Source organism: Homo sapiens, chromosome 12, assembly GCF_000001405.40.
Source record: "Homo sapiens chromosome 12, GRCh38.p14 Primary Assembly".
Taxonomy (NCBI): Eukaryota; Metazoa; Chordata; class Mammalia; order Primates; family Hominidae; genus Homo; species Homo sapiens.
Window position 1 is genome coordinate 19,899,617 of NC_000012.12, and position 24,417 is coordinate 19,924,033.

Here is a 24,417-nt window from a genome sequence, read left to right on the forward strand (position 1 = left end):
TTTCCCATTGCCACATTCTTACCAGCACTTAGTATAGTTAAATTTTTAAAATTTCTGTTAGCCTGATGAATATATAATGATTGTGGAAATTTGCATGTCCCTTATTACTAATGAAATTGAGCAACATTTTGTACATTTATTTGTCATTTAGTTTTTTTTGTTATTTTGCCTAGTTACAATTTTGCCCATTTTTCTTCTGTATTATCTTTTAAAAATTTATTTATAGAAATGATTTTAATATTCCAGTTACCAGTTTTTTGTTTGTCCATTGCAAATATCTTTCTCTCTTTTTTGTAATTTTTTTCTTTATAGTTCTTTAGATAAGAAGATGTCCTTAACGTTACATAAAAAATGTATCAATCACTCCTTCATGAATAATTTTGTTTGCACCTTATTTAAGAAATCTTGGCTGAGCGTGGTGGCTCATGCCTGTAATCCCAGCACTTTGGGAGGCCGAGGCAGGCAGATCACCTGAGGTCAGGAGTTCAAGACCAGCCTGGCTAACATAGTGAAACCCCATTTCTACTAAAAATACAAAAAATTAGCTAAGTGTGGTGGCACGCACCTGTAATCCCAGCTTCTTGGGAGGCTGAGGCAGGAGAATTGCTTGAACCCAGGAGGCGGAGGTTTCACTGAACCAAGATCGTGCCATTGCACTCCAGCTTGGGCAACAAGAGTGAAACTCTGTCTCAAAAAAAAGAAAGAAAGAAAGAAAGAAAGAAAGAAAGAAAGAAAGAAATCTTTCCCTACCTTAAAGTCATATAGATATGTTTCTCTATTATTTTATAAATACTTATAATTTTACCGTTTTAATATTGGTCTTTATCTGATTGGCTTTAGTACATTTTGTGACTAAGGGTCTGATTTTATTTTACCCTACATGGATATTCAATTTTCCTGGCACCATTTACTTCAAAAGCTGCCATGACTTTACTAATAGATTCTGGTATTTCTGTCATATACAGATGCCCATACCAATGTGGCCTGACTCTGAGCTCTCTGTCACTGGGCTAGTACCACACTGTTTTATTTACTTCAGTTTTAAAATAAGTCTTGACATCTGTTATAGCAAGTTCCCTTACCTTGTACTTCTTCAAAAGTATTTTGGCTATTCTTGACTTTAGAACTTTTGTGTATATTTTAGAATCAGCTTGTCAAACTCTATAAAATGACTATTGAAATTTTGTTTGCAATTGAATTGAATCCATTCAGCTGGGAAGAATTGACATCGCTATAATAGGGAGCTATCAACCCCTGAACATGTTTTTAATTTCCATTTATTAGGTCCTTTTTACTGTTTCTCAATTAGTTGCATAAATTTCTCTATAGAAGTCTTATATATATGCTCATTGATTTATTTTTAGGTACTTTTTATTTTTGATACTATTGTAAATAGTACCACTTTTAATTTTATTTTATAATTGTTTGTAGAAATAAGTTTTTATATTGATTTTTGTATCCAGGAACAATGCTAAGTTTTCCTCATTAAAAAACTATTTGTAGGTTTTTTTGGATTTTATATAAATGCAGTTATTTCCTCTGTAAATAATGACAGCTTTATTCCCTTTTTTTAATCCTTATACCTTTTATTTGTTTTTCTTGTCTTATTGTACTAACTAGAACCCCAAAAACAATGTGAATCACCATTGTAACAGTAGATATTTTGTCTCGTTCCTATCTCAAAGGAAATTATTTCATCATTAATTGTTGTAAGTACCAAAAACCATGTTTTTTAGATACCCTCTAATCCAGGAGTTGGCAATCTATGTATGGTTCATGGGCCAAATGCAGCCTGCCACCTATTTTTGTAAAAGAAGTTTTACAGAACCCAGCCACACTCTTTCATGTATACATTGTCTATGGCTGTTTTCACACCATGATGGCACAGTTGTTTAGTGTGACAGAGATCATATGACCTGCAAAGCTGAAGTTATTTATTATTTGGCTCTTTAACAAGAAAAAGTTTGCCAATTCCTGTTTTACCAGATTAAAATATTGTTTTCTATTTTTACTAAATATCTTTTATCATTAATAAATATTGAATATTGTCAAACGAGATTCATACATTTTGTGCATTGAGATAAGATGATGGTATAGTGAATTAAATTGTCATTCTCGTGTTAAACTAAACTTATATTCCTGGAAGAAACTCTCCTTTGTTAAAATGTACTATTTTAAAAACATATTATTGGATTTACTTTGTTACTATTTTGTTAAGAGTTTTTGCATCTTTGTTTATAGTTAGATTGATCTGAATTTTCTCTTACTGTTTCTTTGGGTTTTGGTATCAAAGTTATGCCATCCTCTTAGAATGAGCATAAATTATATTTGGATAGCTAGCCAATGGAGCCATTTGTGCCTGGTGTTTAGTTGTGGGAAGACTTCTTTATTGAATCAGTCTCTTTCATGGTTGTAAAATCCTATTTCCTCTTTCTTTTTGAGTCATATTTTTCTGGGAATTTGTCCATTTGTCCTAAATTTATATTTATTGTTATAAACTGTTCATAATATTCCTTAACCTCTTTAATATCTACAAGCTGTTCCTTTTGTCATTTTTAATATGGTTGTGTCTTCTCTCTCTTTTACTTGTTTACCAGTAGTTTATCGGTTTTATTATTATTTTCAAAGAAGTAACATTTGGCATTGATTCTTTTTATTGTGTGTATACTTTCTAGTTCATAAATTCCTCTACTAATACTTAGTCTTTTTCCTACTTTTTTTTTTTTTTGAGACAGAGTTTTACTCTGTCTCCTGGGCTGGAGTGCAGTAGCATGATCTCGGCTCACTGCAACCTCCGTCTGCCGGGTACAAGCGATTCACCTGCCTCAGCCTCCCAAGTAGCTGGGATTACAGGCGCCCGCCAGTACACCCAGCTAATTTTTTTGTATTTTTAGTAGAGACGGGTTTTCACCATGTTGGCCAGGTTGGTTTCGAACACCTGACCTCATGATTCACCCGCCTCAGCCTCCCAAAGTGCTGAGATTACAGGCATGAGCCCCCATGCCCGGCCCCTACTTTTTAGGGGTTTAATTTGATGTTCTTTATCTAATTTACTGAAATGGATGTTTAGCTAATTTTTTTTTTTTTTTGAGACGGAGTCTTATTCTGTCGCCTAGGCTGGAGTGTAGTGGCCTGATCTTGGCTCACTGCAAGCTCCACCTCCCGGGTTCACGCCATTCTCCTGCCTCAGCCTCCCCAGTGCTGAGACTACAGGCGCCTGCCACCATGTCTGGCTAATATTTTGTATTTTTAGTAGAGATGGGGTTTCACCGTGTTAGCCAGGATGGTCTCGATCTCCTGACCTTGTGATCCGCCTGCCTCAGCCTCCCAAAGTGCTGGGATTACAGGCGTGAGCCACCGTGCCTTGCCTAGCTCAATTTTTTAGCTTTTATTGTTTCTCAATGTATGCCTTTAAAGACTAAAGTTTCTCTAAAATAAGATGTTCTTAATTTGATATCTTGCATTTTAATTTTTTTATTTATAACTTTTTCTGATTTGTAAGATGGCTCTAACTCGAGAAATTTTCTAATATTTTAAAAATACTAATTTATAGATTATATTATGTTCATAAAGCTTTCTCTGTATGATTTTCTTGGAAATTTGTTAATATTCACTTTATCACTCATATGGTCAATTAAGTGTTCCATGTGAACTTATAAAGAATGTATATTCTGTAGTAGATTGATACAGTGTTACATATGTCCAAACTTAAGTCAAGTTTGTAAATTTCGTTCTATTGTTCTATATCATTATTATTATTTTTTTTCTTTTGATACGGGGTCTTGCTCTGTCGCCCAGGCTGGGGTGCAATGGCGAGATCTCAGCTCACTGCAAGCTCCGCCTTCCAGTTTCATGCCATTCTTTTGCCCCAGCCTCCCCAATAACTGGGACTACAGGCGCCCGCCACCATGCCCGGCTAATTTTTTTGTATTTTTAGTAGAGTCGGGGTTTCACCCTGTTATCCAGGATGGTCTCGATTTCCTGACCTCGTGATCCGCCTGCCTCGGCTTCCCAAAGTGCTGGGATTACAGGTGTACGCCACCGCGCCCAGCCTATCTCTTTAATTTTTATGCCTCCTTATGATACGGAAAGGACGTGCTGGGAAGGGAAGAGCGTGGTCCCTTTAAATGATGGGGGAGCTGAAGGGAAGTGCTGGGTACAGGAGGGTGTGGTCCCTGGCTAGGCCCGCCTCTCCCCCCCAGCCCAACACAGACCTAAGTGAGGACAGACATTTTTGTATTCCTGCCCCAAGTGTTGCATTTCCCAAGATCACCCTGGCCTGCCATGCCCCCATCCTGTGCCTATAAAAACCTCGAGACCCCAGCGGGAACACACAGGCAGCAGGACGTTGAGAGGGGCAAATCAGCAGAGGAACACACAAGTGGCTGGACGTTAACGGGGATGCAGTGACAGGCACCAGCACGCAAGCAGGCCACTGACTGGCCGAATGACTTGGAGTATGGCTGGGGCAGTTGGAGGAGAGCCCGGGCCATCAAGCAGCCTGACTCTGGGGGAAAACCATCTCTCTTCTGGCTCCCCCATCTGCTAAGAGCTACTTCCACTCAATAAAACCTTGCACTCATTCTCCAAGCTCACGTGTCATCCAATTCTTTAGGTACCCCAAGACAAGAGGTACACCAAGGCAAGAACCCTGGGATACAGAAAGCCCTCTGTCCTTGCAACAAGGTAGAGGGTCTATTTGAGCTCGTTAACACAAGCCACCTACTGACAGCTAAACTGAAAGGGCACCGTGTAACACACGTGCACTGGGGTAAACATTCATAAACACGCTCAGCTGTAAACATTCACCCCTGGACACTGCCTTGGGGTTGGAGCCACAGCCTACCCATCTGTATGCTTCCCTAGAGGTTTGAGCAGCGGGGCACTGAAGAAGCGACCCCCACCCCCATCACACACCCTGTGAGGGAGACAAGGGAACTTTTCCTGTTTCACTTGTCCTATGAGTTAGTGAGAACAGCATGTTAAAATTTCTCACTACAATTTTGGATTTATCTATATTTTTTTGTTTTGTTAATTTTACTTTAAATATTTGAGGCCTATTCGAGGTTGTATTATTATAGGAAAACTATAGAAGAAAAGAAAATGAGGTTATCTAGGAGGACTCCCTGGAAAAACTCCCTGGAAAAAGTAGAGATTGAGGATTTAAAATGATAGTCATAAACCTCTATAATTATTTAAAATGCACTAATGTATTCTTTTTTTTAATAATCATCAGATCTGTGAATTAAGAAAGGTTAAAATTAACCATACTGATGATTCTAAGGTCAGAATATTGCCCCAAGTCACAGGCTACTTAATGACTGGATCAGGTCCAAGATATGAATTTGTGGAGTCATTTTCCAAGCCTGTGTCACCCCTCTTCCCTTAGCACATCCTGACCCAAACATGCTGCTTGCCTGCTGTGTCTTAAACTCATTAGGACATTCCACCCTCAGGTCGTTGTATTTAATGCTCCCTTTTCCTGGGCAGGTAGACATCTGTTCATGTTAGCTCTTCAGAGAGCTCTTCCCTGATCATTCTGACCACTCTCTATTCCCTTAACCTGTCTTATTATTCTTCAGAGCTCTTAAAACTATCCAACATTATGTTGTCTCTTGGGGTATTAAATTATCATCACTCTCCCTTCTGATATATGAGCTCCAAGACACGAGGTTCTTTTTAAAATTCCTTGCAACATTTTCACTGTAATGGCTGACATAGAGTAGGTGATGAGTAATTTTTGGCTGAATGAGTGAATGAATGAATGAACCTTTTCTTGAAACAAGTATGTTGATTCATCGAAATGGTTTGATCAAGAAATAATTATAGAGGTTTTCTGAGTGCAAATAATTCTTTTTAGCGTGATAGAGAGGTAAAAGCAAGAATAAAACAATATTACAGACTTCAAACTATTTATAATCCAGTTGGGGATAGCAGATATATAGAAATGATATAATCTGAACATGACATAAAAAGAAGGTAATACAGGTAATCACAAGATCATGAACAATTAATGGCCAAATATATTATTTAAACAATAAGTGCTATGAAGGCAACACAAGGAAGTGTCACTGAATTCTTAGTAATACAGAAAACAAAAAAAAAATTAAGAAAGAGTATGAGCTGGGCATATTACTGGTTGTTCAATGACTGCCTTTTTTGTTAAAAAGGAGGAGAAAGAGAGAAAGTGGAAATGTATAGTTATCAAGAAGAGAGATAAGCAGAACCTCACTTGTTCCCTTAACCAGGCTATGAGTATCTCTAGGGCAGAGACAGTATTATATTCATAGCTCATTTACAAGTAGTTAGAAAGCATATCTATATCTATGATATTTATCTGTTTATCTCCATATGTATGTATGTATGCATGCATGTGTCTATCTAATCTATGCTTGGTGATTGGCAATGGGACATCAAGATGTAGGCATCTCGCAGCCACAGGATTTTGCAAAATGAGTTGGTAAATATAAAGCAGGCTGGTAGATTTATGTATCATTATACCCTAAAATTTTATTTTACTTTTTCTGTACCATCTTTTCTCTGGCTGAGAGACAGAGACCTTGGATTAGTGAACATGCTTAAGACATCACTTCAGTCCCTTGACAAATGAGGAATGGCATTCTTTTTATTTTGATTTAGTTTTCCATTCTTGCTTAACCTGGACATGTCTACCTTCTGGTTTTCAACATATTATAGATAATTTCTATAGCTGAATCCAAAGTCAAATACTCTAGAAAAAAACTCCCTAAGAAAAAATATTTTACATTGGATTTTCAGTGGCATGTGGACATATTTCGTTTCTTACCGTGACTTAGTTTTATCACTTTTGACTAGATGATTGGCAGTTCTCAGAAAAATAATGATTCTTAAATATTTTACACCTTTAAAATAAAATTCTCCCCACCAATTTTTTATTTTAAAATAAATCCACAATAAGAATTTCCTCTTTGGCCAGGCTTGGTGGCTCATGCCTGTAATCTGAGTACTTTGGGGGCTCAAGTTGGGAGAATCCAGGAATTCGAGATCAGCCTGAGCAACATTGCAAGACCCTGTCTCTACAAAAAAAGTATTTTTTTTTTAATTAGCCACGTGTGCTGGCACATACCTGTAGTCCCATCTACTTGGGAGGCTGAGGTGAGAGGATTGCTTGAGCCCAGAGTTCACAGCTGCAGTGAGCTGTGATCACACCACTGCACTCCAGTCTGGGCAACAGAACAAGGCCCTGTCACTAAGATATAAAAAAAAAAAAAAAGTCTTCATTATTTCAGCAAACTCTACTGCTTGAAATATTTTAGTTGTTTGACTCTAAATTATATATCGGCATTAAGATGAAGTTTTCTTTAAGAACTATAAGTAATTAAAATACTGCACTTATTCTTCCTCTTTGACCATAAAACCCCCTCAGTTTTTATTTTTCACCTGACCTAAGAACATATCTGGAACTGTGAGGACTACTGGGTCCTTAGGGAAGAAACAGATGCCTACTAAATCTGGATAATTTCCTTTCCTAATTAGGCTATTAATAAATGTAGCTTTCCTGTGAAAACTCTTCATGGTTTTTATTACCATTTATATGCCAGTGCCTTGCGATTTTATACTTCTGTTTTAAACCTCTCTTTTGAGATTTACGCTTACTTTTCCAAATTCCTGCTCACTATTCATTTAGTTATTCCACAGGTGCCTCAATATATTTATGTACTTGCACAGGTACCCCCTGAATCTATAAAAATAAACAAATTTTTAAAATCTCAAACTGAATCCATCTACTTCCCAATAGACCTATTGGCTCCTTACCCACTATTACCCTATCTCAATTACTGCCACAGCCAATTACCCAAGGCACAAGCTGGAAATCGGGCTTTTCTTAACTTTTCCTACTTACAAAATGTTACCAAATTTTTCCTTAGTTATTGCTTGAAAAACTTTCATGTAAATATCTCTTAAATTTCTTCCCTTCATCTTCATTCCCAGTTTTACCACTTACTTGTTCTATTACTGTTTTGGTCTATAACTTTTAGGCAAGTTATTTAACCATTTTCTACTTAAGTTTTCTCATCTGTAAAATGGGGATAGTAATAGGTCTTACTGTATAGGATTTTTGTGAATGTTAAATGAATTAATACATGTTAATTGCTTAAAAGGGTGTCTAGAACAGAGCAGGTGCCACAATATGTTAATTTTTTTTTTTTTTTTTTTTTTTGAGACAGAGTCTCGCACTGTTGCCTGGGCTGGAGTGCAGTGGCATGATCTTGGCTCACTGCAGCCTCCACCTGCTAGGTTCAAGCGATTCTCCTTGCCTCAGCCTCCCAAGTAGCTGGGATTACAGGCGCCTGCCACCATGCCCAGCTAATTTTTTTGTATTTTTAGTAGAGATGGGGTTTCACTATGTTGGCCAGGCTGGTCTTGAACTCCTGACCTTGTGATCTGCCTGCCTCGGCCTCCCAAAGTGCTGGGATTACAGGCACGAGCCACCGTGCCCAGCCAAGTTGTTTTTATTATTATTGTTATTGCTCTTACTATTGGTACCAACATACCTAAATTCAGGTTCTGATTAACTGCTGTCTAGAGTATTTCACCAGCCTCCTAATCTTCCCTTCAGTATCTATTCTTGTTCGTCTCAAATTTGGCTTCAACAACCCCTCAGAGTACACTGTCTAAATCATAAATTGGACCCTACACTGTTTAAGATAGGTTCTTAATAGTTGCCAAAAGTATCAGTGAAACAATAAATGGATTAAAATGTCTCCAATATCAATGTAGCAAGGTTTCAATGAACAGTTTTAAAATTATGAATAAATGAATAAAATATTTGGAATACTCTTTGCATTCTCTATATAATTGCTTGTAAGCTTTCAGGTTTGTTTTTGCATGTTCTTAATTGTCTTTACTGTGTAATTTTTTATGTATATAATGTCAAAAGCCAAGATCTAGATTTACAATGAGTCTTGTACTGATTTTTCTTGGGTCTCTCTGTCCTTGCTGATCTCTCATTCAGCTTCCAATTATTTTCTCATTTTGAAGACATTGTCTTTAATTGCTCCAAACACCTTCTTTTTCTACATATCTAGCTAGATGTGCTTTCCCAGCATAATTACTTTCATTATTGATCTTTCCAAGCACGGAAAAAGAACATCACACAATATTACTTTTGTCGTGGTTGCAAGCACAGTGTGGTTTATTCTCAGTCTTTACAATATTCTAATCTATTCTAAATGTACCTTTCTTATTTGGTTCAACTAATTATCCACTTGAATTTGCATAAACTCAAATCCTAGGAAAATAACATTCTAATCAATAAGTGATATCCAAGGCTGCTCTTCTGCCAAACTCTGAAAAAGCCAAGAGCATCCTCCACTTCCTCTTTCAGTGCCCTTCCTCTTTTTCGTTTCCATTTCCCAACCTAATGATGTAACCAAGATAAAGACTTCCTCCCAGCTATCTGTTAAAATGTTTTTTTCTGACGTGGATGAATGATATATGGTCTTAACCTTGCTAAACATGTTTGCATTTCAATTGGAAATTACTGAGAGCTGAAATGCTGTCCAGGGCCAAATGAATATTCTAGGAGTCGAATTTAAGGCACAGATACCAGGAGATGTCTTGGCACATGAAGGTTTTCCTGGAACTTTCAAAGCATAGTGAAAATGTATTTAGAAAGCCAATCCACATTTTCCTTCTAAAGATTGCAAACTTTATCTATTTTTATCGTACATATTTATGGTGGACAACATGAGATTTTGAAATATGCATACATTGTAGAATGGCTAAATCAAGCTAATTATGCATTGCGTGACATACCTATCATTTATTTGTGGTGAGAACATTTAAAATCTACTCTTTTAGCAATTTTCAAGTAAATAATAGTTATTAACTGTAGTCACCATGTTGTACAATCAATCTCTTGAACTTATTCCTCCTGTACAACTGAATTTTGAATCCTTTGACCGATCTCTCCCCTTTCCTACTTCCCCTTTCCCTCAGCCCTTGATAACCACCATTCTACTCTCTGCTTCAGTGAGTGTGACTTTTTAAAATTCCACATGTATGTGAGATAATGCAGTATTCATCTTTCTGTGCCTGTTGTATTTCACTTGTTAAACACAATTTACAGGAAGCCATTGGTTTGGACCGAGCTCCTGCACTAGGCCCAACAGACTAAACCTAAATGGAGTTATTCATGCTAAAGTTCCACACCACCAAGCTGAAATTAAGTTGTTTAGCTGATTCTCCCAGAAATCAGGAGAGATAGTAGTCAAATCCCCAAACAGGCTAGTTTTACCTGCAGAAGGGAGTCCCCTCTGCTTTAACTTTTACAAGGAAAGTAACTTTGAAACACCCAATCTACTTTTTGTTCTCTGTTTCTGCTCTCTGTGTCTCTGTTTCCTTTTCTGGGGATAAAGCTAACCTCCTTTGTTCAGCTAATTGAAACTCTATCTGTCTATCTATCTGTATATCTATCTATCTACCTACCTACCTACCTATCTATTTATTTAGAGATGGTGTCTCACTCTGTTGCCAGGCTGGAGTGCAGCGGCAGCGATCTAAGCTCACTGCAACCTCTGCCTCCTGGGTTCAAGCGATTCTCCTGCCTCAGCCTCCTGAGTAGCTGGGACTACAGGCACGCACCACCACACCCAGCTAATTTTTGTATTTTTAGTAGAGACGGAGTTTCACCATGTTGGCCAGGATGGTCTTCATCTCTTGACCTCATGATCTGCCCACCTCGGGCCTCCCAAAGTGCTGGGATTATAGGCGTGAGCCACTGTGCCCGGCCACTCTTTTTATTTTGTAGAATGAGGTGTTGTCCACTTTTAGAATTGCAAATAAAAGCCAATTAAGATCTTTAAAATAAATTTGTTATAATTTTGTCGTTTGACACAATTTACATAATGTCCTCCAGGTTCATCCATGTAACAAATGACAGGACTTCCTTCTTTTTAAGGCTAAATAATATTCCATTGCGTATATATACCATGTTTTCTTTCTCCATTCATCCATTAGGTTGATTCTGTGAATAATGATGCAGTGAACACAAAAGTGCAGAGATATATCTGACATGCTGATTTCATTTCCTTTGGATAAATATCCAGTAGTAGGATTACTGGTTCATATTATAATTCTATTTTTAATTTTTAGAGAAACCTCTTACTGTTTTCCATAATGACTGTACTAATTTACATTCCTTCCAACAGTACATGGGTTCTCTTTTCCTCACATACTTGCCAACCAACACTTGTTATCTTTCATCTTTTTGATAATAGCCATTCTAACCACTCATCGTGGTTTTTATTTGCATATTCCTGATGATTAGTGAAGTCGAGCATTTTTTAATGCATCTGTTGGCCATTTTTGTGTCTCTTTTTGAGAAATGTCTATTCAGGTCCTTTGCCAATTTTTAATTTTTTTCTATTCGGTTATTTAGTTTCTTGCTGTTGAGTTCCTTGTATATTTTGGCATTATCCTTATCAGATATATCATTCGCAAATATTTTTCCCATTCTATAGGCTGTCTCTTCACTCTGCTGATTGTTTCCTTTGCTGTGCAAAAACTTTTTAGTTTGAGGTAAACTCATTTGTCTATTTTTGCTTTTATTCCCAATGTTTTGGGGTCATATCCAAAAAATCATTGCCAAGACCAATGTCATGGAGACTTTCCCCTATGTTTTCTTTTAGTAATTTTATAGTTTTAGGTCTTATGTTTAAGTCTTTAATCCATTTTGAGTTAATTTTGGCATACAGTGAAATTCTTTCCCTCCCTTCCTTCCTTCCTCCCTCTCTCTCCCTCTTTCTCTCCCTTTCTTTCTTTCTCTTTCTTTCTTTCTTTCTTTCTTTCTTTCTTTCTTTCTTTCTTTCTTTCTTTCTCTCTCTCTCTTTCTTTCTTCCTTCCTTCCTTTCTTTTCTTTTCTTTCTTTCTTCCTTTTTGCATACGGATATCCAGTTTTCCAAGCACCATATATTGAAAAGATACTCTATTCCCCATTGTATGTTCTTGGCACTTTTATTAAAATCAATTGGCTATAAACATGTGGATTTGTTTCTGGGCTCCTTATGCTGTTGCATTGATCTATGTGTCTGTTTTATGCCAATAACATGATAGAGCTTACAAACTTTAAGAGCATAGCCTGGATTTCATTATCTTGTATCTTTCCACAGTATGCCAGGAGCACAACAAAGATGACTAGGGCATGAAGAAATACAAGCTGAGATTGAGAAAGAAAACTTAGGCCAAAAATCTGGAAGTATCCTTTAAACCAGGGGTCCCTAATTCCTGGTACTGGTTCATGGCCTGTTAGGAACCAGGTCGCACAGCAGGAGGTGAGTGGTGGGCTAGTGAGCAAGGCTTCATCTGTATTTATAGCCACTCCGCATTGCCTACTTTACCGCCTGAGCTCTGCCTCCTGTCTGATCAGCAGTGGCGTTAGATTCTCATAGGAGCACAAACTCTATTGTGAACTGTGCATGCGAGGGATCTAGGTGGCATACTTCTTATGAGACTCTAATGCCTGATGATCTGTCACTATCTCCCATTACCTCCATATGGGACTGCCTAGTTGCAGGAAAACAAGCTCAGGGCTCCCACTAATTTTATGTTATGGTGAGTTGTATAATTATTTCATTATATATTATAATGTAATAATAATAGAAATAAAGTACACAATGAAGGTAATGTGCTTGAATCATCCTTAAACCACCCCCAACCTTGTCTGTGGAAAAACTGTCTTACACAAAACCTGTCCGTTGTGCCAAAAAGGTTGGGGACCACTGCTTTAAGCTAACATCCAATTTATCACACTGAACCAAATATGCATTCAACTCCATAGTATGTCTTGAGTTGATTTTTCTCCCATGTTTTTACCACCCTCTAATTTTGCTCAAATTCATCATCATCTCTTCACTGTACCACTGAATGAACTTTCTAATTGGTCTCCCCCTTTTATTATTATCCCTTGCAATTCATTCTTCATACTAGTAATCAGTAAGTAATTTATTTAAAATGTAAATGGAATCATGTAATTTTCTTGCTTATGTTTCAGAGGTTCGCAACTGTGCTTAAGATAGAATACAAACTCAACATTGTCTTTGAGTCTCTGCAGGCTTCAGCTCCTGCCTCTCCCTCTAGCTTCATCTTTTTCATTTTGTCTTATTTTCATCTTTTTTATTAAGGTATAATTTACAAATAAAAATTGCATATATTTACAGTATACCACATGATGTTTTGATATAGGTATACTTTATGAAATATTTAAATAAAGCTAATTAACATGGCCCTCACCTCACACTTACCATTTTTTTGTGTGATGAGTACATTTATGATCTAAGCTCTTAATAATTTTAAAGTATAGGATAAATTATTATTTACTGTGGTTACCATGCATTACAGTAGATCTCCAGAACTTATTCACCCAGTCTAACTGAAACTTTGTACAGTTTGACTGACCAGCATCTCTCCACCCCGCACTGGCTCCCGCCGTGCCCTCCCCTCCCCCGCCCCAAACTGCATGACCTCCAGTTTCATCTTGTACCATCACTCTTTGCTCAGAACCAGCAAACACAGCTGGCCTCCTTCCAAAGCTCAGGAGCACTGAGCCCTTTACTGAATCAGGACTTTGCACTCATGCTGTTCTGCCTAGAGCACTTTTCACTCCACTCGCTGTTCAGGTTTCAGCTGCAGGTCACTTCCAGGAGAAACTTTCCTAGATACACCAAATCAATTAGCCTCCACCTGTTTATTTTTCTCATTCATTTTCATACCCAGATATTTTACTTCACAGTGGTAGTCTCAATTGGTAATTATGTGTATTTATTTATTAATTATTTATATCTCTCCCAACTAGACTCCCAACTCCCAATTATACCTTTTGCTCTACTTTTAACTCTTATCTGAGGCCCCAATACTTTTGTGTGTTTTTCTTCATTTTAAGTTAACCGATTTGATTGTCTTTTTTTGTTTGTTTGTTTTGTTTTCTCCACTAAACTGTGAGCTACACTGCTGGGCCTTTTTTCTTTTTTTCAATTTAATGTATCACCAAATCTTTGCAGATAGTAGTTACTCAATAAATGATGATGATAATTAAATTGTGCCAGTGTATATACCTTGGTGGTCCTAGGTCCCATTGCCCGGTGACTGAAAGAACACAACATGGGAAGCAATAAGCTTCTAGAGGCTTGAATATGCATGTTTTTAAAATTGTATGCAGTATACGCCTGTACATATGGGATAGTTGGGGCTCAGGACACATCATCCCAAAATATGACCATAAGAAACATATGCCACCTCAAAATATACTACTCTGGCATACTTTAAGCGGAGAACTGCAGACACGAGAGGAGTACCCCTGAAAAGCTGTTAACACTGAAAATTTGTGTGATAATAAATTTATATCCATGAAGGAAATCTACATTAGTAAAAATATCTATATCTAAAGGAGGGCTGCTCTGAGAGACCTTTTATTTATTATTATGCATAATAGGACAACCTTTATTCATTATACATTTCCTCTTCTCATCTTTCCATAACTTCTGTGGTCCTCATCCTTCCTCCCCATTAGCAGCTTCAAGTTCCTATTACTTTCTATAGCTCAGTATGCTAGATAAGCTTCAATCATCTGACCCTTCTTCAAGTCTTACATTTTGTGGAACTCCCATATGCTATGTAGGTAATTTAAATGGTTTTTCTCTTGTTAATCTGCCTTATGTTAATTTAACTTTTTGCCCAAACAATCCAGAAGTGTGGAGGGAAGCCACTTTTTCCTCCCGTACAGGAGAGTACACATCTGAATTTTAGAACAGTATGAATTTCATGCAACTTCATTCTTTTAAATAAAGTTAATTCTCCAAATGCAAAATCATCTGTGATTTAAATTTTATGCTTTCCTAACTCATTTTATGTATGTTAATTTACATATTATGCACAAAAAAATAAAAAAAAACTCCTATCACGTGTCTTCATTTTTGTTCCAGAACTGTGGGCACGTTATGTATGCCAGCAAAAGGGAATTCAAGTAACCAGATTAGAAAGGTAATTAAGAATGCAGTTGAGCAAGATACTCAGTCCCCAGTCCTATGCTGGAGTAAGGTATGGTAGAGAGAGAGAAGAGAGGTGGGCAATAATTGTAAGTTCAGTATCAGAAATAGTGGGTTTTGGAGAGGAAGGAGTTTTCGAATGTCTGATAGGAAGCAGCCATTTATCAGCTTATTTGACCCTAGACATGTCAATTAAACTCTTTAGGTTTCAGTTCTTTTTCCTTGTGGATGAAAGGACTAAACCCCATTAGAAATACTTTCCTGCTCTATGATACTTTGATTCTTACTTTCTCCGTAATGGTGGGAAAACAAGAAAGAATAATCTGAGAAAAAAAGGATAGGAAAAAGATAACAATTATTAAAGATAGAGAGATGCAAAAAAGAGACATGATTGCTGGTTATGAAAGGAAAAATATTTTAAAAAGTAAGAATTTAGGTCTTCATTCATCCCCCTCTGAGTTTCTTGAACAAATATTTATACAGTGCTAGTCAATACTTACGTAGCACTGACTACATGCCGTTTTAAGGGCTTTATAAATATTAACTCATTCAACAAGAATATAAGTTTTACTATTATTCCTATTTCATTGCTGAGGAAATAGGCACAGAGAGTTTAAGTAACTTAATCCAGGTCACATAGCTGGTAAGGGCCAGAGCTGGATTTCAAACCCAGGCAGTCTGGATCCAGAGTTCATGCTCTTGTAATGCTGATTTTACTGTTAGAATTTGCCATACATTTTCCTCAGTGAAAACCCCCACATCAAAGACAAAAACTTATTGAACTGTAACAAGTATAATAAATCACTCCAGACATATTTAGGCTAACACATACCCTATTTGTTTCTGTGTAATTACACTTTCTCAAGAGCCTGCCACAATTGGTATCACTGTTTTCTTATGAACTCTTCAAGCAAGACTAATGCAAAAGGGAGAGGATTGTTCTTTGTTCAGCTGCAAACCAGGTGGCACAAAGCACAGAGAAGAAAGCCAGGCTCCAGAGAACGTGTGAAGGCAACCAACTCTCAGAGACACTTGCATAATTAGTCAGAAAGCATTTTCCTTCAAATGACTGCAATTTTTAAAAGCGCTATCCCATTTTTCTCCCATCACCCTAATTAAAAAAAGACAACAAAAAACATACAAAAAAACCTTCCCCAAAGCAAGACTACTAAAATAAAATGGTCTGGCTGTGAGCAAACATTTGAAGCTTAAGTGTTATGTTGACCTTGTACTGCAGGAGGCAGCATCTCATTAATAAAACAATGACCATGTGTTTTTGTTGTTGTCCTTGAGGTTCTTTTTATGTTTGTTTCAGTATTGTGAATAGGACTGTGATTGTCTCATTCTCTAATATGCTTGATTTCTATTCAGAAAGTAAACAACTGAAAGGTTTTGTAAAGGGGTTAGAACCAGTGATTGTTGCTGATTTACTTCTGTGAAATTGAGTCCCTTTCCTTTTCTATTGTTTGTCTACTGTTAAATTTAATTTCTTGTGCTCACAATTAAAGTTTAAAATATTAGAGTCGGAGGAAGCTAGGAGATCATTTCTCTTGATTTAATTCTCTGATTTTACAGATATGGAAACAAGATCAGAGTGGTTAAATGGCTTGTCCAAGACAGCTAGTGGCATAGCCAGGACTGGCTTTTCCACTGCAGGTTCTGTGCTCATACCAAGCTTCATTGTTTGATCAGTCTGGAGTTGAGCCTCTGTAACACCCTCTTTTCTTTTTCCCAACCAAACACATCCTTCTTCCACCTCATATCCCTTTATTTTCTTTCATCCAATCCAATTTATTTTAGTAGGAGATTAACAATGAGTACCTGTGAAGTTAATGTTGATGTCTAGAGGGTAATTCAAACTTGCTGAACTTCAAGCAATGAAATGTCTTGGGAGCCATCCATCAGAGGTGCTTTGAGGCTATGCTTGCAGAGAGAGAAGTCCCGACTGCTGGAAGCTAGGGCTTCCTTTATTCCAGGGTATTGCAGTGATGTCAGTGTGTGTTAGAACTTAGCATTGTGCCTCTGGTCCTGCTGCACTGACTCTCCCCTCCCCCCATCATCTTTTTATATTTTATTTAAATATGCATGAATTTCTATTAAAGTCTCTCTTCTTTCTTAAGAATTAAAATTGGTATCTCAGGATAGAATCTGTACTCTCCCACTCCCTAGAACCCCAAAGCGTTCCTGGATTTTCCTGTATTTGCTTCTTTCCAAAAAAAAAAAAAATCTTGCATTTTGCCCATCAAATTTCATTTACAACACCCCGGTCCATAGTAATATTTCCTTCCTTTACCCTAGAACATCTGTATTGATAGCTCTTGTCTTACTATTGTTAAAAGAAAAACTTTCATCAAATTAAATTTATCAGAGCTTAATTGAGCAAAGAATAATTCCTGAACCCACAACCCTCAAAACGAGAACAGGTTCGGAGAGCTCCAGTCCACAGTGTGGTCAGGCAGCATTAATAAACAGAGGAGGAAGTAAGATGCAGAGATAGCTCTCCTGGTTACAACTCGGTGTTTGCCTTATTTGAACAAGATCTGATCAGTTGTCCACCTGCAATTAAGTGAAGCTCAGCTGTTGTCACTGGCTGAGACTCAGGTATTGTTACAGGAGTACTCCTAAATTAGGTCTTCTGTTAGTTTATGTGCTAAGTGAGGCTGCAGTTTGTTATGAAAGGACTCACATCCTCAGGCCAAATTTAGTTTAACACTACTTAATGTTCAAAGTCTGGCCTCTCCAGCTAGATGATAACCTATCCCAGGTTATTTTCACATCCATTTTGCTGTGGAAGATAGGCATCTATCTAGGGGATTAGCTAACTCAAGGCCCAGCCCCTCTCCTAATCCTTGCCACCACAATAAAAAGGATTTTGTGGCTAATTTGATTTATCAAATTTCAGGATGCTGATTAGGCCACATTTGCCAAAGGGTTGATACTCGTTTAAAGGTTACCTATGGATATGACCCTTTCTTCTCTCTTTCTTCCAAGTGGCTGGCAGGCAGGCTGATCCATAGGGCAGTCTGGCCACCCACCTTACTCTCCTCATTTAAAAAATCTGGGGTAGCTGCCTGATCATAAAATTTAGATTTGGGGCTAGGTAGAAGGAAAAATCACTCTTTAATTCTTGAATCCAATTAACATAGAGCTCCACGTTGGGGTTTCAGGCTGTGCCAATATCAATAAAGTGTTGTTTGATTTTGCCTTTGCTCCTTTATGTCTCCATGAGATCCTTAAGGAGAGATAGTATGCCTGATACTAATATAGGATTTGGGTATTTCTACACAGTTTTTTTAAGTGAGCACATTAAAGATTTACCTTTTTAATTAGCCCTAAGTGTGATAAATCTGGTTCAAAGGAGTATACTAGAGAACAAGTGTAGTCACTGAAAGAATAAATATTGAATGAAAGATTGCTAAGTTAGGTACAATCTAGTCAATGTCCTCTAGAGCAAGTAAATATAATATTGGGAGTTATCTTTTTTTTTTTTTTACCTGACAGGAGTCATTTGGATTTACTATATAACATCTCTACTAATCTCTAGGAGACAAAATTTATTTTCATTGTTATTTGTCAAGAATCATTTGCATCATTATAAGTTTTCTTAAAAAAATTATTTTAAGTTCCAGGATACAAGTGCAGAACGTACAGGTTTGTAACATAGGTAAACATGTGCCATGATGGTTTGTTGTACCTGTCAACCCATCGCCTAGGGACTTCTCCCTAACTCATTTTATGAGGCCAGCATCATCCTGATACTAAAACCTGGCAGAGAAACAACAAAAAAACTTCACATCAATATCCCTGATGAACACTGATGCAAAAATCCTCAATAAAATACTGGCAAATCAAATCCAGCAGCACATCAAAAAGCGTATCCACCAGGATCAAGTTGGCTTCATTCCAGGGATGAAAGCCTGGTTCAACACAGGCAAATCAGTAAACATAATTCATCACATAAACAGAACTAAGGACAAAAACCACATGATTATCTCAATAGACACAGAAAAGGCCTTCGATAAAATTCAACATCCCTTCATGTTAAAAACTGTCAGTAAACTGGGTTTTGATGGAACACACCTCAAAATAATAAGAGCTTTTATGACAAACCCATAGTCAATATCATAATGAATGGGCAAAAGCTGGAAGCGTTCCCTTTGAAAACCGGCACAAGACAAGGATGCCCTCTTTCACCACTCCTATTCAACATAGTATTGAAAGTTCTGGCCAGGGCAATCAGGCAAGAGAAAGAAATAAAGAGTATTCAAATACGAAGAGAGGAAGTCAAAACTGTCTCTGTTTGCAGATGACATGATCCTATATCTAGAAAACCCCATTGTCTCAGCCCAAAAGCTTCTTCAGCTGATAAGCAACTTCAGCAAAGTCTCAGGATACAAAATCAATGTGCAAAAATCACAAGCATTCATATACATGAACATTATAAGTTTTTCTACAAGTCAACATCTACCCTCATTGAGTGGTAAAATACCCTAATCAATAGTAAATTGTAAATCAAACAGAGGCAAATAATTTAGAGAATTGAATAATCTTTGAATGTGTGTGCTACACGTGTGTGTGCATGACTTGAAAGAAAATGTAGTCATCCTTTTGCCTTTTTCCAAATTTTGGATATTTTTTTCCTTAGCAGTCCCACATTATAATCATAAATAATCTCTAAAAATAATTCTTGATCTCCAAAAAAAAAAAAAAAAAAACCTGGTCTTTGGCCCGGTTCATTTACAAAGATATAACAAGAGTATAAACTAATATACTTAGTTTATGTCACCTTATAGTATGGTCAGCAAATACAGAGATTAGAGTGCTAAGCAACTACCAAGACCAGAAAATTCTGCAGATTTCTTAAGAAACCAAGATTGTATTTTGAATAGGCTCTCTACAGAAGTTTAGAAACATTGTATTAACAAAATTTTAAGCATATGCAGAAGTAAAGTTGATCCTGTAATAAATACCCCTGTACTTGTTTCCCAGCTTCAATAATTATCAACCCTTGGCTCATCTTATTTTTTCTATAGTTGCCCTCTCAACACTAAATTAATTTAAAATTTTCTTATATCTTTATTGAAGTATAATAAAATACATAGGTTTATTTTAAGCCTTGGTATACATGTGCATAATGTGCAGGTTTGTTACATAGGTAAACATGTGCCACGGTGGTTAGCTACACCTATCAACCCATCACCCAGGTATTAAGTCCAGCGTGCATAAAATGCATATGTTTAAAATGTGTAATTTGATCAAGTGACATTGGCAATGTCAATTTCATTGACGTGTGTATATACCCATGAAATCATCTCTAAAATCCAGATACAAAACATTTACAGCACAGCCAAAAGTTTTCTCTTCCTCTTTGTAATCTGTCTCTCATCTATCTTCAGGCAACTACTGACCTACTTCCTGTCTCTGCAGATTGCATTTTCTAGAATGTTATATAAATTCAATTATGTAGTATGTACTCTTCTTCTTTGCTTGGCTTCTCTCACTAAGCATAATAATTTTGATGTTCATCCTTGTTGTATGTCTCGATAGTTTAGTATTACATGATACGGATGTATCACAATCTGTTTATCCATTCATCTGTTGATGGCCATTTGGGTTGTTTCCAGTTTTTAACTGTTAAAAATACAGCTGTTATGAGCATTCATGTACAAATTTTTATGTTTGGGTTCTCTTGTGTAAATACCTAGCAGTAGAATAGCTAAGTTGTATGACAGGTAGCTGTTTAACTCTTTATGAAATGTCAAATTGTTTTCCAAAGTGGCCATGCTGTTCCACAAAATCTGATATGGTTTGAATTTCTGTCCCCACCCAAATCTCATGTTGAACTGTAATCCCCTATACACAGGATTGGAGGAGGGGTCTGGTGAGAGGGGATTGGGTCATGGGGGCAGATCTCCCCCTTGCTGTTCTCATCACAGTGAGTTCTCATGAGATCTGCTTGTTTAGAAATGTGCAGCACCTCTCTCGTCTTTATCTTCCTCTTTCTCCGGCCATGTAAGATGTGCCTGCTTCCCCTATGCCTTCTGCCATGATTGTAAATTTCCTGATGCCTCCTCAGTCATGCTTTCTGTACAGCCTGAGGAATTGTGAGTCAACCTCTTTTCTTCATAAATTACCCAGTCTCAGGTAGTTCTTTATAGCAATGTGAGAACAGACTAATACAAATCCAAAGCAGTGAGTGAGATTTTCAGTTGCTTCATACCTCACTGAGGCTTGGTAAGATTATTTTTATTTTTTAAAATTTAGTCATACTGGACGGCCATGGTGGCTCACACCTGTAATCCCAGCACTTTGGGAGGCCGAGGTGGGAGGATCACGAGGTCAGGAATTCAAGACCAGCCTGTCCAAGATGGTGAAACCCTGTCTCTATTAAAAATACAAAAATTAGCCAAGAGTGGTGGTGGGCACTTGTAATCCCAGCTACTCGGGAGCCTGAGGTAGGAGAATCGCTTTAACCCGGGAGGCGGAGGCTGCAGTGAGCTGAGATTGTGCCACTGCACTCCAGCCTGGGTGACAGAACAAGACTCCATCTCAAAAAACAAAAACAAAAAACAAAGTCATTCTAATGAATGTGTACTTGTATCTTATTGTAATTTTAATATGTAATCTCTGTAATGATTAGTGATGTTGAGCATCTTTTCATATACTTCATATTTCATATACTTTATATCTTCTTTTGTGAAGTGTTCACAACTTTTGCCCACTTCTAAAATTGGGTTTTTGTCTTCTCATTGAGTTGTGAGAGTTCTTTAGATATTCTGAATCAAAGTTTTTTGCTGTACATATGTGTGGCAAAATATTTTGCCCAGGGGTTTGCCTTTTCATTTTCTTAATGATGTGTTTCAAAGAGCAAAATTTTTAATTTTGATGAAGCCCAATTTATAAAATTTTAAATTATTTGTGGTCTTTGAGTTCTGAGAAATTTTTGCTTGCTCTAAAATCTCAGAGGTATTGAAATAATATGTATGTTTTCATTGTTGATTTCCAACTTAATTCTATTGCAATCTGAGAGCATACTCTGTAGAATTTTGATTTTTAAAAATTTATTGAAACCTGTTTTATGGTTCTATGCTCTATATTGGTGAATGATATGGTTTGGCTCTGTGTCACCACTCAGATCTCAAACTGTAATTCCCAGAGTTGGTGGAGGGACTTGGTGGGAGGCGACTGGATAATGGGGGTGGATTTCCCCCTTGCTGTTCTCATGATAGTGAGTGAGTTCTCATAAGATCTGGTTGTTTAAAAGGGTGTGTGGCACTTCCCCTTTTGCTTGCTCTCTTCTGTTCTGTTATGGTGAGATGTGCCTGCTTCCCCTTTGCCTTCCGCCATGATGGTAAGTTTCCTGAGGCCTCCCCAGCCATGCTTCCTATACAGCCTGTGGAACTGTGAGCCAATCAAACCTCTTCTCTTTATAAATTACCCAGTCTCAGGTAGTTCTTTATAGCAGTGTGGGAACAAACTAATACAGTGAATATATCATCTACATGTACACTTGAAAATCATGTGAATTCTGCAGTTGCTGATTTTGTTAATTATGTCACGGTGGTCCATGGTATTTTTCAGATTATGTTTTTACTGAGATTGTATCTGGCTGTTTCCTCAATCGCTGTGCATGAGATGGTAACATCTCCAACTTTGATTGTAGAATTGCATAATCCTCCCTTTAATTTTGCCAATTTCTGCCCTCATATCTTATATATTTCAAATCTCTGGTAGTAGATTCATACATGTTTATGATTTTATGTCTTCCTTTATTATTTTTATTAACTCTGGTAATACTATTTGCCTTGAAGTCTAACTTATCTGATATTAATACGGGCACTTCAACCTTCTTATTCTGACTTTTTGCTTCGTATATATATTTTTAATCGATTTTATTTCAACTTATGTCTTTATATATAAATTGTGTTTCTCTTGGGTAGCATATATTTGTTCTTGCTTTTTTAATCCATTCTGAGAACCTCTGCCTTCTATTTGGATTGCATAGTTAATATTTAATCAGATTACTGATATGATTGGATTTATGTCTACCATAGCATTTTTTTCTTCTGTTTGCTCCTGTGCTTTTTATTCCACTATTGTTCTTCTCCTACCTTTTAAAAAAATTATTCGAATATTTCTAAAGCTCTGTATGCTACATTTTGGATGTGGTTTGTTTGGCCCCTCCAAGTCTCATGTTGCAATTTGATCCCCAGTGTTGGAGGTGGGGCCTGATGGGAGGTGTTTGAGTCATGAGGGCAGGTCACTTATTAATGGCTTGGTGCCATCCTCTTGATAATAAATTCTTACTCTATTAGTTTCTATAAGAGTTCCTTCTAGAGCTGGTTATTAAAAGTGAGCTTAGCACCTTTCCCCTCTCTCTTGCTTCTTTTCTCTCGCCATATGATCACTATACAGGCTAGCTCCCCTTGGCCTTCTGCCATGAGTGGATGCATGCTGGGGACCTCCCTGGAAGTTAAGCAGATGCCAGCACCATGCTTCTTGTACAGCCTGCAGAAATGTAAGCTGAATATAAACCACCTTTTTTTTTTTTTTTACAGATTGCCCAGCCTCACATATTCCTTCATAGCAACACAAAGGGACTGAGACAATATATAAGGTATTTTGTGGCTTTTAAGCTATACCTCTTTGTATTATTTATGTTTAGTGATTTTCCTAGTGATTTTATTGTATGTCCTTAACTTTTGCAGTCTATTTAGGATAAATGTTTTATTGCTTTTTGTAAGATGTAGAACCCTGCAACTACACAGCTTCACTTGCCTTCCTCTCCAGGCTGCTATTTTTATGCCATAAGTGTCACGTGTATCACATCACATACATCTAAATCCCATAAGACAATGTTATAACTTTTGCTTTAAAGTCATATGCATTATTTATAAATTAAGAAGAAAAAGTAGTCTTTTATATTTACTGCCAATGCTTACTAATTCTTATGCTCTTCATTACTTCCTGAAGATCCAGGATTTTTCTTTTTCTGTGAGGGGTTTTCTGGTTAGAAAAAAAAAAGAAAGAAAAAAGAACAATTGGAATACCTGACAGACAAATTCTAAAAGAGCTGTAACACTTATATAGGGCTTTATATGATATCATTTCTCTCTCTAGGCTGAAGAAATTCCCTTAGTCATAGAATAGACCAATTTCTTAGGAGGGCTTTGTAGAAACTGGTACAACAAACAAATCACAGCATTTATTTAAAAATGGTAGGTTTATCACACGAGAATAATGACATATATTTTCATATATAAAACTCCAGAAAATTCAACAAATTTGGTTGTGCAATTGTTCTGTCAAATTATATCCTTGTAAAATGGAGGACAGACTCTTACTAATGCTCTGCGCAAAAACTACACTAACCATTAAAAGAAAAGAGACTATA

General features: G+C 37.0%; 1 pseudogene, besides 2 other annotated features; it reads right to left on the bottom strand.

Moving 5' to 3' along the window:
* Window positions 3,796-4,296: an enhancer, noted in NCBI's record as "H3K4me1 hESC enhancer chr12:20056346-20056846 (GRCh37/hg19 assembly coordinates)". NCBI's record gives its function as "activates a minimal SCP1, AML or CMV promoter by ChIP-STARR-seq in naive H9 embryonic stem cells {active_cell/tissue: H9 hESC(naive)}" and the evidence as "EXISTENCE:reporter gene assay evidence [ECO:0000049][PMID:30033119]".
* Window positions 4,297-4,797: an enhancer, noted in NCBI's record as "H3K4me1 hESC enhancer chr12:20056847-20057347 (GRCh37/hg19 assembly coordinates)". NCBI's record gives its function as "activates a minimal SCP1, AML or CMV promoter by ChIP-STARR-seq in naive H9 embryonic stem cells {active_cell/tissue: H9 hESC(naive)}" and the evidence as "EXISTENCE:reporter gene assay evidence [ECO:0000049][PMID:30033119]".
* Window positions 24,021-24,107, bottom strand: LOC124903095 (uncharacterized; annotated as a pseudogene).
* Window positions 24,108-24,417: the final 310 nt, after the last annotated feature.